Source organism: Homo sapiens, chromosome 12 (assembly GCF_000001405.40).
Source record: "Homo sapiens chromosome 12, GRCh38.p14 Primary Assembly".
Lineage (NCBI taxonomy): Eukaryota > Metazoa > Chordata > Mammalia > Primates > Hominidae > Homo > Homo sapiens.
In genome coordinates, this window is record NC_000012.12 from 77,988,068 (window position 1) to 78,002,912 (window position 14,845).

The 14,845-nt window shown below is 34.5% G+C and overlaps 1 protein-coding gene across 27 annotated transcripts in view; it reads left to right on the forward strand.

The window, feature by feature from the left end:
* NAV3 (neuron navigator 3) overlaps positions 1-14,845 on the forward strand; it is a 641,149-nt gene that overhangs the window by 416,206 nt on the left and 210,098 nt on the right. For 15 of the 27 annotated variants that reach the window (XM_017020166.3, XM_047429817.1, XM_047429823.1 and 12 more), the window contains exons 6-7: positions 6,736-6,804; positions 10,270-10,409. In XM_017020166.3, coding sequence (XP_016875655.1) covers positions 6,736-6,804; positions 10,270-10,409 — 209 coding nt within the window. The remainder of the gene's footprint in view (positions 1-6,735; positions 6,805-10,269; positions 10,410-14,845) is intronic. The other 12 variants (XM_017020167.1, XM_047429818.1, XM_047429819.1 and 9 more) reach the window with 1 other exon arrangement.

Genomic DNA, 14,845 nt, shown 5'->3' on the forward strand with positions numbered 1-14,845 from the left:
CTTTAGAAACTGTGAGTATTCTCCTTCCAAGGAGACATCTGTGGATATTCTGTAGCACACAGTATCTCCAATGTTATTATGCATAGGAATCACCTGCGGATTCTGTTTAAATGAAGATTCAAATTCAGTAAGTCTGAGATGGGATCTGAGGTTCTATATTTCTAACAAGCCCCAGGTGATGTCAGTGTTGTTGGTCTACAGACCACATTTTGAGTAGTGAGGCTGTAGTGATTAGTAAAAATGTGTAACCACAGATTCGGCCCTGTTTACCTTAAAAAGCTTTCTTTCCTTACAATAAATGGATTTTATAACTCCACATGAGGATTTACACTGAAGCTGAAATAGGAAGCTCTGGCAGTTTGGATCCTGCTGTGTTTTGATCACCAGATGAATTCCATACTTTAAAAATAGTTGACTGTGTATAGTTTTCTCTTCTTCCCTTCCATGCTTGAGAAAAATAAAAAGCAGCCCCTTGATATTCCAGTTTACTAGAAAGATGATCACATACTTCTTTTAGTAGGATCCACAATGAGCCTCAAAATGTTTACTTCTTTTGTGCTTCTGTTTCTGACATCTTTTGCCCACCATAAACAGTAGGAGCCTGATCATACAGGATTTCAGAAAAAAATGCACTCTTCAATTCAGACATCTAAAAACCCTTATTTTACTGCTTTTCTGACTCAGTTTATTTTCCCCCATTGCCTGAGAGCTGTGTCTACATGTCACCTGTGTCTGTTTTACTAGGACTCGGCAAGTTGGCTGTGCTTACTCACCTGGTTTGTTACTAATATGTTATAAACTTGAAACCTGGGAAATGGTATTACAAGCACTGTGGAGGATAAAATGCTTTTCTGCTGTCCAGTGAGGCATAGACAATAATGTTAAGAAAAATAAAGGAGCTATTGAGAAAGATTTTGAGTTACATCAAACAAGTAATGAGAGAAATGGGGAGAGATTGATCATGTGAAAATTTGAAAGAAAAATAATGAGAGAAAAGTAGAGGCATATTGAACCACAAGATTTGATATTTCTGTCCTCCCTCTATTACTAGTGATTTTTAAGATTACAGTAATAGCTTATTTTTTAGATAACATTGCAAACGTTCAACTAAGCCTTTCTTGCTCTCTTTTAGACCTCTTTTCAGGTGAAAAGACAAAAACAAGGAGAGGCAACAGACGTTTAAGAGTAGTAGAAGGACATAAAAACGGGATGGCAGTAATACTATAATTAGAACCAGCAATTAACAAATGTCTCACTAACTTACACATACATACGTGTGTACAGTGCCTTTACCTTTGCATGGTATTTCATAAACATTAGGTATTAGGCCAAACCAAACTGTTTGCCCATTGGGCTTCCTATGGAAGCTAAAGAGCTAGCTAAAACCAACCAACCAACCAACCAAACAAACAAACAAAAATAAATTGGTCTTCCAAGGAGTCCAAGTTCTTGATCTATAAACATCTGAGAGTGGTAGACACTTATGTAGCAACAGGCCAGTGACTTTTGACTAGGTGCCTCTTAGAAATGCAGCTGGTACAATGTATTCTGTTAGTAGTTGAGATCATGAAAAATAAAGGACAAAAATCATGAAATTGATAAGACCAGTGGGTTAATTGGTGAAATAACATTTATTCTCTATACTGGAAAATAGATCCATGGAATGGTGAAGTTGCCTTATAAATAAATCAAACATAAAGAATATTCTTTTTGACATACTAAGCATTTGTGGCAGTTATACTTGGCAGATAAATTACTTTCTAAAGGGTAATATAAATAAGAATAGTTCTTATTCTGCTTTTTTAAAACATACTAAATTCCATTTAAATTTCTCATGGACCCATCAATCTGACTTAAGCATTATCACCTCACAATTTACCTTTTTTAAAATGAGTATCCAACCATTCCAAGCTCCTAATTCCACTATTGATTATTTCAAATCAGCTATTCACCTCAATTTATTTAAAACAAATTAAGTATATATCTGTGAAAGATAGAGTTTATTTTTAATATGCTTCCAATGTTATTCAAACACCAGGGGTTTAGTCTAGGTCCTGCTCTCTGTTGCACAGAAAGCCAATCACTAAAATAACAAGAATTGCCTAGGGAGAAGGCTTTACTCAGTTGCTGCAGCTGACAAGAATGGGAGATCAGTCTCAAATTCACCTCCCCAATTAACTAAAACTGGGGGTTTATATAGTGGGGAAGGCATGTGGCTACATGCAGAAAAGCAGGAATTAGGGAAAGGTAAGGAAGAAAAGTTGGTCAACAGGAAATAGGTCATCTGTTAGGAAAACAGGAATTAGCAATGAGTAAGAAAGTAATCCTGACAAATGAAGGACCTGGCATCTCATTGTCTAGTTGTGGCAATCTGGTAAGTTTCAGTTCATTGATACTATCTAAGAGGCCTGATGGTCAGTTTCCTGAGAAAAGGAACTCAGATAAAACAAATGTAAGTTTCTCAGATTTTAAAACTGTGAGGATCAATTTCTATGTTTATTCAAAAGAAACTATAACATCAGTTTTATGGGACATTTAGGCCAGTTTCAACAATTCAAAATAATTATCACACTTTAAAAATTAATATTAATTGCTTAGTTTCATTTAACATCCTTGTGTTAAAATTTTCTCATTTTCTCATAAAGTTTAACAGTTGTTTATTTGAGTCAGAATTCAAATAAGCTTCTGTACATTACAATTGGTTTTAAGTTCTTATAAGACTCTATAGGTTTTCCCTTCATAATTTTTCTTGCAATTTATTTGTTAAAGAAATTGGGTCATTTGTCCTATTGAGTGCTCCACTGTCTGTTTTTATTATTGTATTTCTGTAATATAGATCTTTGAAAAATTGTCTCTATTAATTGTGTTAATAATACACTTGCTGTTACAACACTTATGGTGCTGGTTTGGTGACACATGACATATTACATTTTCAAAATGTATTAGTTTTATTGTTTATTTATTTTTTTATTTTTTCTGAGAGAGTCTCACTCTGTCGCCCAGGCTGGAGTGCAATGGTGCTATCTTGGCTCACTGCAACCTCCGCCTCCTGGGTTCAAGCAATTCTCCTGCCTCAGCCTCCAAAGTAGCTGGGATTACAGGCACGCACCACCAGGTCTGGCTAATTTTTGTATTTTTAGTAGAGATGGGGTTTCACCATGTTGGCCAGGCTGGTCTCAAAATCCTGACCACGTGATCTACCTGCCTCAGACTCCCAAAGTGCTGTGATTACCGATGTGAGCCACTGCGCCCAGCCTAGTTTTATTTTTTAAGAGACAAGAGTAGGCAAATTTCCAATATCTATGATAGTATTGGTACATTTGATGAAGAGATTGCTTTGAAGAAATTTCATTATGTTTATACATTTAAATAACTAAAGTTAAATTAAATGTTTTCATTACATAAAAAGGGTACAAAGCATAGTTATGAAAGCTTAGAGATTTAATATGTGTCTAGAAGGTGATAAAATGTTGCATAGACTTGGTGTAATTTAAGGTGATACTTGAAAAATGGTTAGAATTTGGTATAATAGACACAGGTAGGGGGTATTCCCATAGGAGTTATAGCATGAGTAAAGGCACAGAAAAATAGAAAAGTACAAGTGAGATAAAAACCCCTCTTGTCTTTTATCCTGTGACAAAGATAGTAGAACAGAAACACAGAAACATAAGAATATTTTATAAGGCTTGGTGCAGTGTCTCACACTTGTAATCCCAGCACTTTGGGAGGCCGAGGTGAGCGGATCAAGAGGTCAGGAGTTTGAGACCATCTTGGCCAACATGGCGAAACACTGCCTCTACTAAAAATACAAAAAGTAGCCAGATGTGGTGGCGGGTGCCTGTAATCCCAGCTACTTGGGAGGCTGAGGCAAGAGAACTGCTTGAACCCAGGAGGTGGAGGTTGCAGTGAGCCGAGATTACGCCACTGCACTGGGTGACAGCAAGACTCCATCTCAAAAAAAAAAACGAATATTTTATAAAGGATCTTGAATATCAAAATTTACTTTGAGTCTTCACTAATCAGCTGCATGTTTTAGAAAATTTATTGTATGTCTTTGACCTTTGCTTCCTTCACCTATAATTTCACTTATCTATTTGAGAATAATATCAAGACACAAGCCTAGATACATTCATTTCAATTCAAATATTCGATTCTGAAGTATGAATTAGATAAGCAATACAACATTTGAATTTCTCTAGGTCAGAGGTATCGTGGGAAGTATTCAAGGCTTGAGTTAGCATGATAAACATCGGAATTGATGGAAAACATAGGTACAAATGGAATTATAGATATTTAATTAGTATGACTAGGTATTGATTTCTCCTCTGTAATAATTGAAAGGGAAATGGAAAGAGTCAGCTGTTGAGATTTTCAGCCTATATTATTAGGAAAATTGTGGTCCTCTGGATAGAAATAAAGAAATTTAAGTAAGGAGTTTATTGAGAGCTGGAGAATAAAAGAAGGAGAATGGAGAGTTTGATGTGGTGAGTTTGAAGCTCACGTAAATGGACAAGTCTTTCATTCAGTTGGTGCCGATGGATGGGAATATGAACAGAGGTTAATTTAAGGAGTAGAATATTAGTTTAAATCTTAGTAGCAAGTGAATTACTAAGTAAACAATGCATAAAATATTTGAGGAAAGAGGATATACTCTTGAGGGAAAAATACCATGCCTTTAAGAGATGTGGAAACAAGCACCCCAAAAAGGAAAGAGAAAATGGGACAAAAATGATGGTGAACTAATTGGGTCAGCTTACTGGAATGCCATAATGCCTGGTCTATGAATAGGAGAGGCTCAAAAAGAGGCAGGGACCAACATGGTCAAATACAAAGACTTTAGAACACAGTGAGCATTGAAGAAAACAAGATAGCAGCTTCACCAGTGCAAGAAAGCAGAACAGAAGCTGCCTTTCAAGGGATTACAGTGAGAGGGTTTGGTGTAAGAATTCAGGTTCAAAGTACAGTATCCTTATATAATAATTCAGAAAACACACATGGACCATAAAATGAAATTGATTTTGGCCAAATCATTCAAACTTTATGGACTTTGTTGTTTATCCAGTTCTGTGCTAAGATTTATATTATGGCACGTCTTTAAAATAATGAGGTGGGGGGACCAGTAAGGTGGCTTCAACTCACTAAAAGAAAATATATTGTTTCATTGTCATCTATTTTGCTAATATTTGTGTTCAATTTAGAGAAAGTAGGGTAGACATAGTGGTAAACAGTTCTCTTACTCTTGAATTGACAAGTAGACTGAGAATTTCACAAAAGGCTTTTCCTCACTTTGAGTGTTTTTATTCTTTAATTTTCAAAATGCTATTTCACTGAATTGAGACAGTTTGGTTTTTATTTCTGAATTACTTTCTGATATTATTATTACTGAGGTAGTTTAGCTAGTTGTGGCCAGTTGTTTTGGTGCTCAGTGTAGTTAGAATACAGATTGCATTATACACAAATAACAATTTATCACATGCCAAATGTGCTCTGTGAATCTGAAAAGCTCCCTCTATATGAGGGTATATTTCCCTCAAGCCAGGCAATTTTAAGGACCTGCAAGCTCCCACCACCAACTAGCTCAGTGTAGTAAAAGTTAATTTAGTAAACACATCATCATCCTAAGTAATCCTTTCCTTGACTAAAATACCCTCTGCTTGGCAGAGAAGCAATTGGATCAACTACATCAGGACTCCAAGTGATCCCACCCTGATTCCAACACCCCCATGTTGTTCTTGTTTCCTTGGAGGCCTTGAAAACTGTGCATGCACAGCAACCGGATTCATGTCGAGCCATTCCAATTCATCTGAGAAGCGATTCTCCACTTAGGCATCAACCCATGACCATCACAGGGTGTGTGCACATGTCCTGGGTTTATCAGGTCTAACTATATCTTTCAGAATACTGATTCCAGAACTCTTAGGTAACGCAGAGATCAGTTGAACTTAATGTATAAATGTGCATTTTATATATAAAATATTGCTCTTCAAAATTTGGCTTAAATCATGCTTTCTTGTGTGCCTTTGAACAAAGATTTTGATTTAAAAAATCATTGAGAAATGTAATTCAAGAATGCCCAGAAATTGTCATTAGTATTTGTTAAGTTGTTTATGAAGAACTTAAGCCCACTTTAATTTCTGTTTTTATATAGATCTTCCCCAAGACAAAACATCTTTTATTGACTTCCTTGAAAACAATTTAGTACTAGAGATCAGCAATAACTTATTAGACAGAAACCAGATTATTTAATCATTTGGCTTTCGAAATAATATTTAGATTGAAAAAAGCAAATTAGAAGAGTTTACTAAAGGAACTAATGACTGTCATCTCATACTCTTCTTTTACATTTTAAACTTTTTAAGAAAGTGATCTTTCATCATGTCAGTGAAACTTTAGTTTCCCTGAAGTTTCACAGTCATTTACAAGGTTGAATTTTTTTATATGATGAAATAATAGTATTTTTAAAATATTAATAATATTACATGGCCATAATTGTAAAGTCAGTGATAACACATTTTATGACAAGGTGTGCACTGCATTATTTCATAGTACATTCATAATCAAAGGTCATGTTGGACATACAACATTACCATAATTTTCTAATTAATTTGTTCTTTATACATGTTTATACGTGTTCCAATTGCATTTCATTAATTCATAGTTTTCTTGTAAGTTTGTGCTTTCCTTCCATGTTCAAAGAATCTCTTTAATTCAATTTCTCTGTTTCTCCTCATACAGTCTGGCAGCCAGATATGCAACTCAGTCTAATCACAGTGGAATTGCAACCAGTCAAAAAAAGCCTACTAGGTCAGTTAATATTCTCTAATTTATTGCTTATTAGTGATATGCAAATAAATACCCAGTGATATTTTGTCCTATCTTTTTTTTTTAATGATGCACTTCTGAATGAGAAGTTTAGAGCACTAAATTTTTCCAGGAAGATTTTCACACATAGCCTCAGGGATGAGCATGTTTGTACTAGATAATTAAATGGGTTTTGGCATCTTTTTTAGTTTTGTGATATGTAGTGCTATAACTGGGCTTAAGTCTAGGTTCTAGGTTTAGAATCAATCAAGGAAACCATTACTTTGAATGCCCAATTCCTTCCAAGTCACATAATCTGGAAGTTATACAACAAAATTGTAATTGCTTTTTGAGATGGGCATGCATTAATTATTGCACATTTTAATGGAGATTTGAAAAACATTGGCAGATTTTAGTGGGGAAGTTAGTACCAGGTCAGTCTGGACTGTTCTTCTATCTATAATAGTTTAATTTTTTTGCTTCTTTATGACACAGGTATAATAAAGACAGCCTGTTATAGTAAATGATAGTGCGTTATATACTGTTTGGAAAATAATGACCTATAAAAATGTTTTGAAAGAGTTTGATTTTTTAAAAGTGTTAAGTTGCTGAAGGCATGATGGTAGCATGGAACAGCTGAATAAAACCACAGCAAAAGAGTTTTATACCTCTGATTAGTATGTGATCCTTTGTGTCATCTCACTCACTGGGGAAGTATCCAGCAGTGGTTTATTCATTACTGTTCCATTGATGAATCATATTATGCAGTGTTTGACCACAAAGACTGCGTCTGATGCTTTGACTTGAGGTAGGTGTCTTTCCCCTTGCCTTGGCTTTCTAAGTTATATTCATTTCCAGAGTAGCCAAAATAATTCTCGAAAGACAAATTTTAAAAGGTATTTAATTAAAAACTAGAATAAATGATATAAATTATGATGGGTAAGGAACAGTCACCTGCCATGCACAATGAGCATTTTTATTACTCCTTCTAAGACTTGGGCATGTAAAATATTTTTAAGTACTGTATTTTGATAGATCTCTCTCCCTCTCTCTCTCTCCTCTCTGCTTCATCTCATTTCCCTTTTTATTACTTTGATGAATAATCTGAAGGCCTGCTCTGCCTGCCTGTCAAATTAGGGTAATGAGAAGAGCAAATGTATTTTTACATTTGTTTTAATTTGTTCTTCTAAGGACTGAAGATCATTTGACTTCATGGGTTGCAGTAAAGATTAAAATGTATTTTAATTATTTTCTGAAACAGGTCAATTTGCATTACAAGCAGGGCAAGTTTTGTGATAAAATTTGTTTATGTGTGTGAGTTTGGAATGAACTTTCTAAGTCTATGCCTATGTCTACAGAAATAGTTCTCAGATTTATTATGATTAGGACACTTGGCCAAATTCATTAGTTGGGTTCCTTCAACAGAGTGCAATCACTGGTCCTGTAAATTCCTAGCATCTGTCGTTATTATGCTGTACTTACAAACCCTTGTAGATTCTCTTAAGCAAAAGTTAAATGCTGGAATCATTTGGAAAATATTCTAATACTTTGTATGACACAATGTCCAATTAGCAAAATAGCTAAAGGGACCAATTATCAGCCATATATATTTAAACATTAAAATATAATTCACATTTTGAAGCTATTAACCGTTCTAAGAAATCAACAGTTTTGTTTTTAAGTTAGTATTTGTTTTTTTTCCTGATATTCACTCTATTTTATAATGACTGTTACTATTATAAAAGCACTTATATTTCCTGAAGGTGGTTTGATTTTCTAATATTCTGTGAAAATGATATAGTCTAGTAGTATTATAAAGGTGAATTAAATGTTGAGCATGTAACAACTGGATTGTGAAATTTTGGTATATCGGATACTAATATGAGAGACATTAATAATCTTTGCTTTAAAATTTTATAAGATGATTATAAAAAATAGTGCTATATTTGTAGATTTTGAATTCTTGTTTTCCTTTCAAATAAAAAATTTCAGAGTAGTACACAGTGACATTCACATGGTGGCAGCAAATACTAAACAAAACTTTCAATATCATATTTTCTAAATAGATCTTAGACTGTCAGTATTAGTTCTTGGCCAGACACGGTGGCTCACGCCTGTAATCCCAACACTTTGGGAGGCTGAGGTGGGATCACTTGAGGTCAGGAGTTCAAGACCAGCCTAGCCAACACAGGGAAACCCCGTCTCTATCAAAATACAAAGATGAGCCGGGCATGATAGCAAGTGCCTGTAATTGTAGCTACTCAGAGGCTGAGGCAGGAGAATCGCTTGAACCCTGGAGGCAAAGGTTGCAGTGGGCTGAGATTGTGCCACTGCACTCTAGCCTGGGCGACAGAGTGACACCCTGTCTCAAAAAAAAAAAAAAAAAAAAAAAAGAATGTCAATATTAGTTCTTCACTTCTAGTTCTTAATTTATAGATTAAATATACCTATAGAATATATGTCAGTAGTATAAAATCAAAATCTAGTAATTGCACATTTTAGGCACAATCCATTACATAATCGGTCATTGAAATTTTAAAGTGGAAATTGTTTAAGAGTGAAATGAATGATCGAAACTGATATTTTAGTTCAAATAAAGCAGCAGTAAGTTACTACCTCCAGTCAAACCACCTCTAATTATAAGATAGTCTGTTCATATTTCCTCATATCCTGTCCTTCATACACAAAGAGTAGCTAAAGCTATTGTCACTACATGTAAGCATATTTTAAATTGTCATCCAGCTAACAGTGATTTTCTTCTGAGATCTGCATCCTTTCTTGTCACGTCTCCTCTGTGATCAGTTGGCCAAACTTGTGAGACAACCAGCTAAGTCTGGATGCTTATTTTTGGCAAGAAAATGAAAAAGGTTTTTTGTGGGGCAGACCAGTGAAATATAATTTAACTCATGACCTGGGTCTTGGTACCATGTTTTCATTAGTGTAGCTAAGTAACTTAGATACTCAGTGAGCATTAGCTATTCCTTCTTGTTCAGTAACTTTCTTGTGATTAATATCCAAGCAAACTTACTATATAACTACCTACAATAAAAACAAATGCCTTACACATTGAAAAGAACAGCTTAATAACTGAAATAGCTGAGGAATATGCTGAGAACATAAAGTTAAGTGTTATTGTTTCCTTTACTTTTCACATAATTGTTACAGTACTTTTAAGGCAAAGTTTTATTCATCAGGGATGGGGTGAGTATGACTTTTTTAGTTAAGATTTATTTTAATTATTGTATATTATTACAATTTTGGAGGGACATGTTCATTGAAAAGGGAAACAAGATTTTTCTGAAGATCTGCAACATTGTGCTTAGCTATTTATTTGTCACATCTATCACCATTTTCTGCTAAATAGATTTTAGAACATCATATGTTGTAAATTTCTGACTTTCAGCACCTCCTGCTTCTTACCTTTTTGTAATGTACAATAATGATGTAATTTTTCTTATACTATTTCAGGCTTCCAGGGCCCTCTAGGGTGCCTGCTGCAGGAAGCAGCAGCAAGGTCCAGGGAGCCTCTAATTTAAATAGGAGAAGTCAGAGCTTTAACAGCATTGACAAAAACAAGCCTCCAAATTATGCAAATGGAAACGAAAAAGGTAAGTGTTTGTTACATCATTATGACACAAGTCCAACATGAGTCTTGTGAATTGCATGCTAAATCTAATATTTGAGCAGCGTAACAACTTTGGGCCTAGAGATGTTATCAGTGGAGTTTCTTTATGTTTCCTAACTGTCCCCTCCTGACTGCCAGCTTTCTTATCTGAAGAACATTTTAAACAAATAAACTCATTCATTTTAAAGTAGTTAGTTATATATGCAAGTACAAATACTGTTTCTCAAAAACAGGTCCTTCCAAATGCATGTAAATCACATTTTCTTATGTCTTTTTATGTTTTTGAAAATGTATCCTGAAATCATAAAGCCATATTGAATTTATCTGAATCCTTAACTTCAGTTAAGGTAAGAGCCATAAGTGTTTTTGACAATTAAGGTTGGAGCATCAAAATTTGAAACATAATTACAGTAGGTTTTTATCTTTGCAAGCAGCAGATCCCAGAGATATTATGACCTCAGTTTTCCCCAAAAGACAAATTATTCATATTTGTTTTGTTTTCTTGAATTAGTGCATAATATAAATATCAAATCACAAAATCAAGGACATTAAATGAAAGTGTCTGTTAAAGGCATATTATAAATGAATCATAAGCCACACAGTTCTCTGTGATGTACGAAGTGGGCATTTAAAGAGGTGCTGATTTGATGCTTGTCACTGAGTAGCAGAGAGGACGGGGATGAGTATGTGTAGTTTACACCTCAATCATGAGGAAGTGAAGAACTTGTGCTGTTATAAGTAGTATGGCTGTGTGAGGAACTAGGGTGTTCTGCTGGATTTTGAGGAAGTATTTTCAAATCAATAGAACTTCAAACTTTTCTTCAGAGTGTTGGGCTCTACATGGAAAAACACATGAAATTAAAAAGTGGCACAAATGTTTAGTTAGTAGAACATCTGGCTAATTGGGATCAAATAATTCAACCATGTGGGAACGTTTTTGCTCAAAATAGATAATTGTGAATTGTTTCATATAGGCAAATGATTAGACAACTTCCTCTTCCTCAAATGTGAACGGACAGATGTGATCTAGAAGCAAGACACTCTTTTGTGTAAATATTCCCTTTGGCCTAAAGCAAAAGTGGACAGACTTTAAACACCTGAGAGCAGAGCAGTGTGTGTTAAGATTGCAATATCTTAAGCTCTTGAGTTAAATGGAAAATGAAAAACAAAAGTGTATATTTGGAAGTTAGGAATGTTTTCTTTAAAATATAAAATAAAATTTTAGATTTAAGATCACAAGAAATATTACTGAAGACTTATACTCTTCCTGGGGCTAAGGGAGGTGACAGTCGCTCATCAGAAAAAAAAAAATGCCCTCATTTCCTAACTTTTCTAAAAAATATTATACAAGTTCAGGCTAATACTTCCTGTATATGTGGGAAATTTCTAGGGGAAGCTAACAGGCTTAGAAATAAAGATGTGTTAAATAGACTACCAAAGTGTCCAATTAAGCAACACGATACCACCGTTATTGATATTCTAGCAAGAAATTACTAGCAATGTTTGTAAATAGACTTAGAAATGCATTTGATGAATTAACACTTTTATATCTTAATTTATCTGAATTTTTCTGTAATGTGAAAATGTTTTATTTAACTTATTTCTGGCATCTATTAGTAAAATTCTGATGATATACAAGCATTAATATTTTTCCATGGCCACTCAATTCATACATACCTTCCCTATCTATGCTTAGAAGGCAGTGCAAAATTAGATAGTAGCAATATTGATTATAACCACAAGGTGGAGACAGATGTCGTGTAATATGCAGTCTGCTCATATAAAGCACATTTTCTTAGACAAGAGTTTTCATACGATATAATAAAGACATCTGGAATTTGTCTTGTATGCAATATGAAATTTGCTATTAAACGTGGAGTTAAAACTTTATGTCAATAGATCCAATAACAATGTTCATAAATTAATCATTATGTCATGCTGTATTTCCAAAATACTATCTTAAATTATAAGAGCAAACGAGGTAATAATATATTACACTTAAAACATTTTTTTTTTTTTTTTTTTTTTGAGACGGAGTCTCACTCTGTCGCCCAGGCTGGAGTGCAGTGGCGCGATCTCGGCTCACTGCAAGCTCCGCCTCCCGGGTTCACGCCATTCACCTGCCTCAGCCTCCCGAGTAGCTGGGACTACAGGCGCCCGCCACCACGCCCGGCTAATTTTTTGTATTTTTAGTAGAGACGGGGTTTCACCGTGTTAGCCAGGATGGTCTCGATCTCCTGACCTCGTGATCCGCCCGCCTCGGCCTCCCAAAGTGCTGGGATTACAGGCGTGAGCCACCGCGCCCGGCCAAAACATTTTATAAAAATACAAAAAATTAGCCTGGCATGGTGGCGGGCGCCTGTAGTCCCAGCTACTCAGGAGGCTGAGGCAGGAGAATGGCGTGAACCTGGGAGGCGGAGCTTGCAGTGAGCCAAGATCGCGCCACTGCACTCCAGCCTGGGCGACAGAGCGAGACTGGGTCTAAAAAAAAAAAAAAAATTATAAGTTATTCTATATCCAAATGGTACATTTTTTAATAAAGATGTTTGTTTTAACTTTTTGAATATGAAGATTTCTAGTTCTAGAATAATGTTTATAAAAATATACAAATCCATCTGGTGATGAGTTGACCTCTATCACAACTAGTTTGCATATATAACTTGGGTGTGACCAAGCAAGGTGAGAGTTAAGAACTTTTAAAACTTACTGTATTATATTGATAGAACTCAGAAAGTACTAACTTGAATATTATTATTCTAATTGCTTTTCCCTTTTAGTTATTAAAAATAAGAATACTTAAATTAATAACAAGATCTTTTACTGGCAGGATTAACCAAATTATCTGTAATGTGTTCCTCGAATGCTTTTAAGTGGAAATATACTTTATACATTCTTTAACAACTCTGAGAGGATGAGTTACATAAATCAGTTCAGGAATCTATAGAATCTGTAATACATAGTAAAGGTTTATTCACAATTAAAACAATTTCACTTCTATATTAAAAAAACAAATTGTTGAAAGTACAGTGGCTTTTCATATGTATGATTTGTAAAACAAATTAGCTTTTTTAAAGTGATGTGACGCTTAATGAGAAGAAATCAGTAGAGAATTACAAACTGCACTTCAAAAGATACATCTAATATCATTTTAATAATGAAATTTGAAAAAATAGTGTGCTCGTTTTACAGTCTCATTAAATGAATTAAAATATCAGCACACATTGTAGTAGGTTATCATTGGCAGAGAAGGCTGAAATAGAAACGTTACAATGGGATGCACTGCCATCTGAACATTATGTCGAAGTGGAACGCGGAAACATATTTCTCAGAACAAGTGGTAAAATGAAAACAGCATCATTTGTAAAGCATTTCTTTTGAGAGTGCTTCAGTTTCTTCTCCTGATGACCTGCCATTCAGAAACTGACAATGAATAATACACTCTGACACCAGCATTTGTCAATTTGCCCAGAACCATATGAGAGTACTCTAGACAGATATATGTTCCGAAGTAAACCAAATACCTGTTAACTGTAAATCAAATCTTGTAGAAACCATGCCATGGTTCCTTTGGACATATACTTTGCATGCCTGAAGCAAGTTACCTTAAGAAATCATTCTTTTGTTTTACAAAACTTGTATTAAAAAATTAAAAATGCAAAAAAGCTTAATATTATTAGGAATTTATCCATAGCTTTATTTGGAATCCAGTTTCTTTATTATGATCTATAAACATGCATCATTTGATGGAGTTCCTTAGTGGAGAGGTGTTTTTCCATGTTGCTAAGAAACATGCCCCAGCACCAGAAGGGATACTACCTACCATCTTTTTGCCATTTCTCACCGTGATTCTTACATTGTACCTGTTTACTCACTGAACAGGGCTTCCTTCTCTTTGTCTAGATTCTAATCAGGTGTCTTCTGGTGTGGAAGCTTTGGCTTTTATTTACACACAACACAGAATTAATAAGATAGATGCCAAGGATTTAGCAACATTTTAATTCAACATTATACAGGTATCAGAGTTAATGAGAATTATGCATTAGTCTTTAAATTTGGGCAGCTTATTCAGCTAAAACATAGATGTCTAGCTCTTAAACACTTTGTTTTTTTAATTACTCTGAAATTACAATAAAGTCAAAGAACTGAACTGTTTTCTTTTCAAGCCAGTGCAAATGTGCTTTAGTTATTATTTTACTGGTGATCTAATTATGCATTTTAATGCTTTATTACTTAATACTTATATAAGCCTAAAATACGTTGTTAATGTCATAATTTCAGGGATTTTAGTATTCTTTCCATGAGTTACCATAACTAGGTGCATATGTGTAAATATATGTATATATCTATATCTATATATTTATATCTATGTATATATCAATTTATAAGACTAAATAGACTTGGCCATATGTGTTGTTGGTT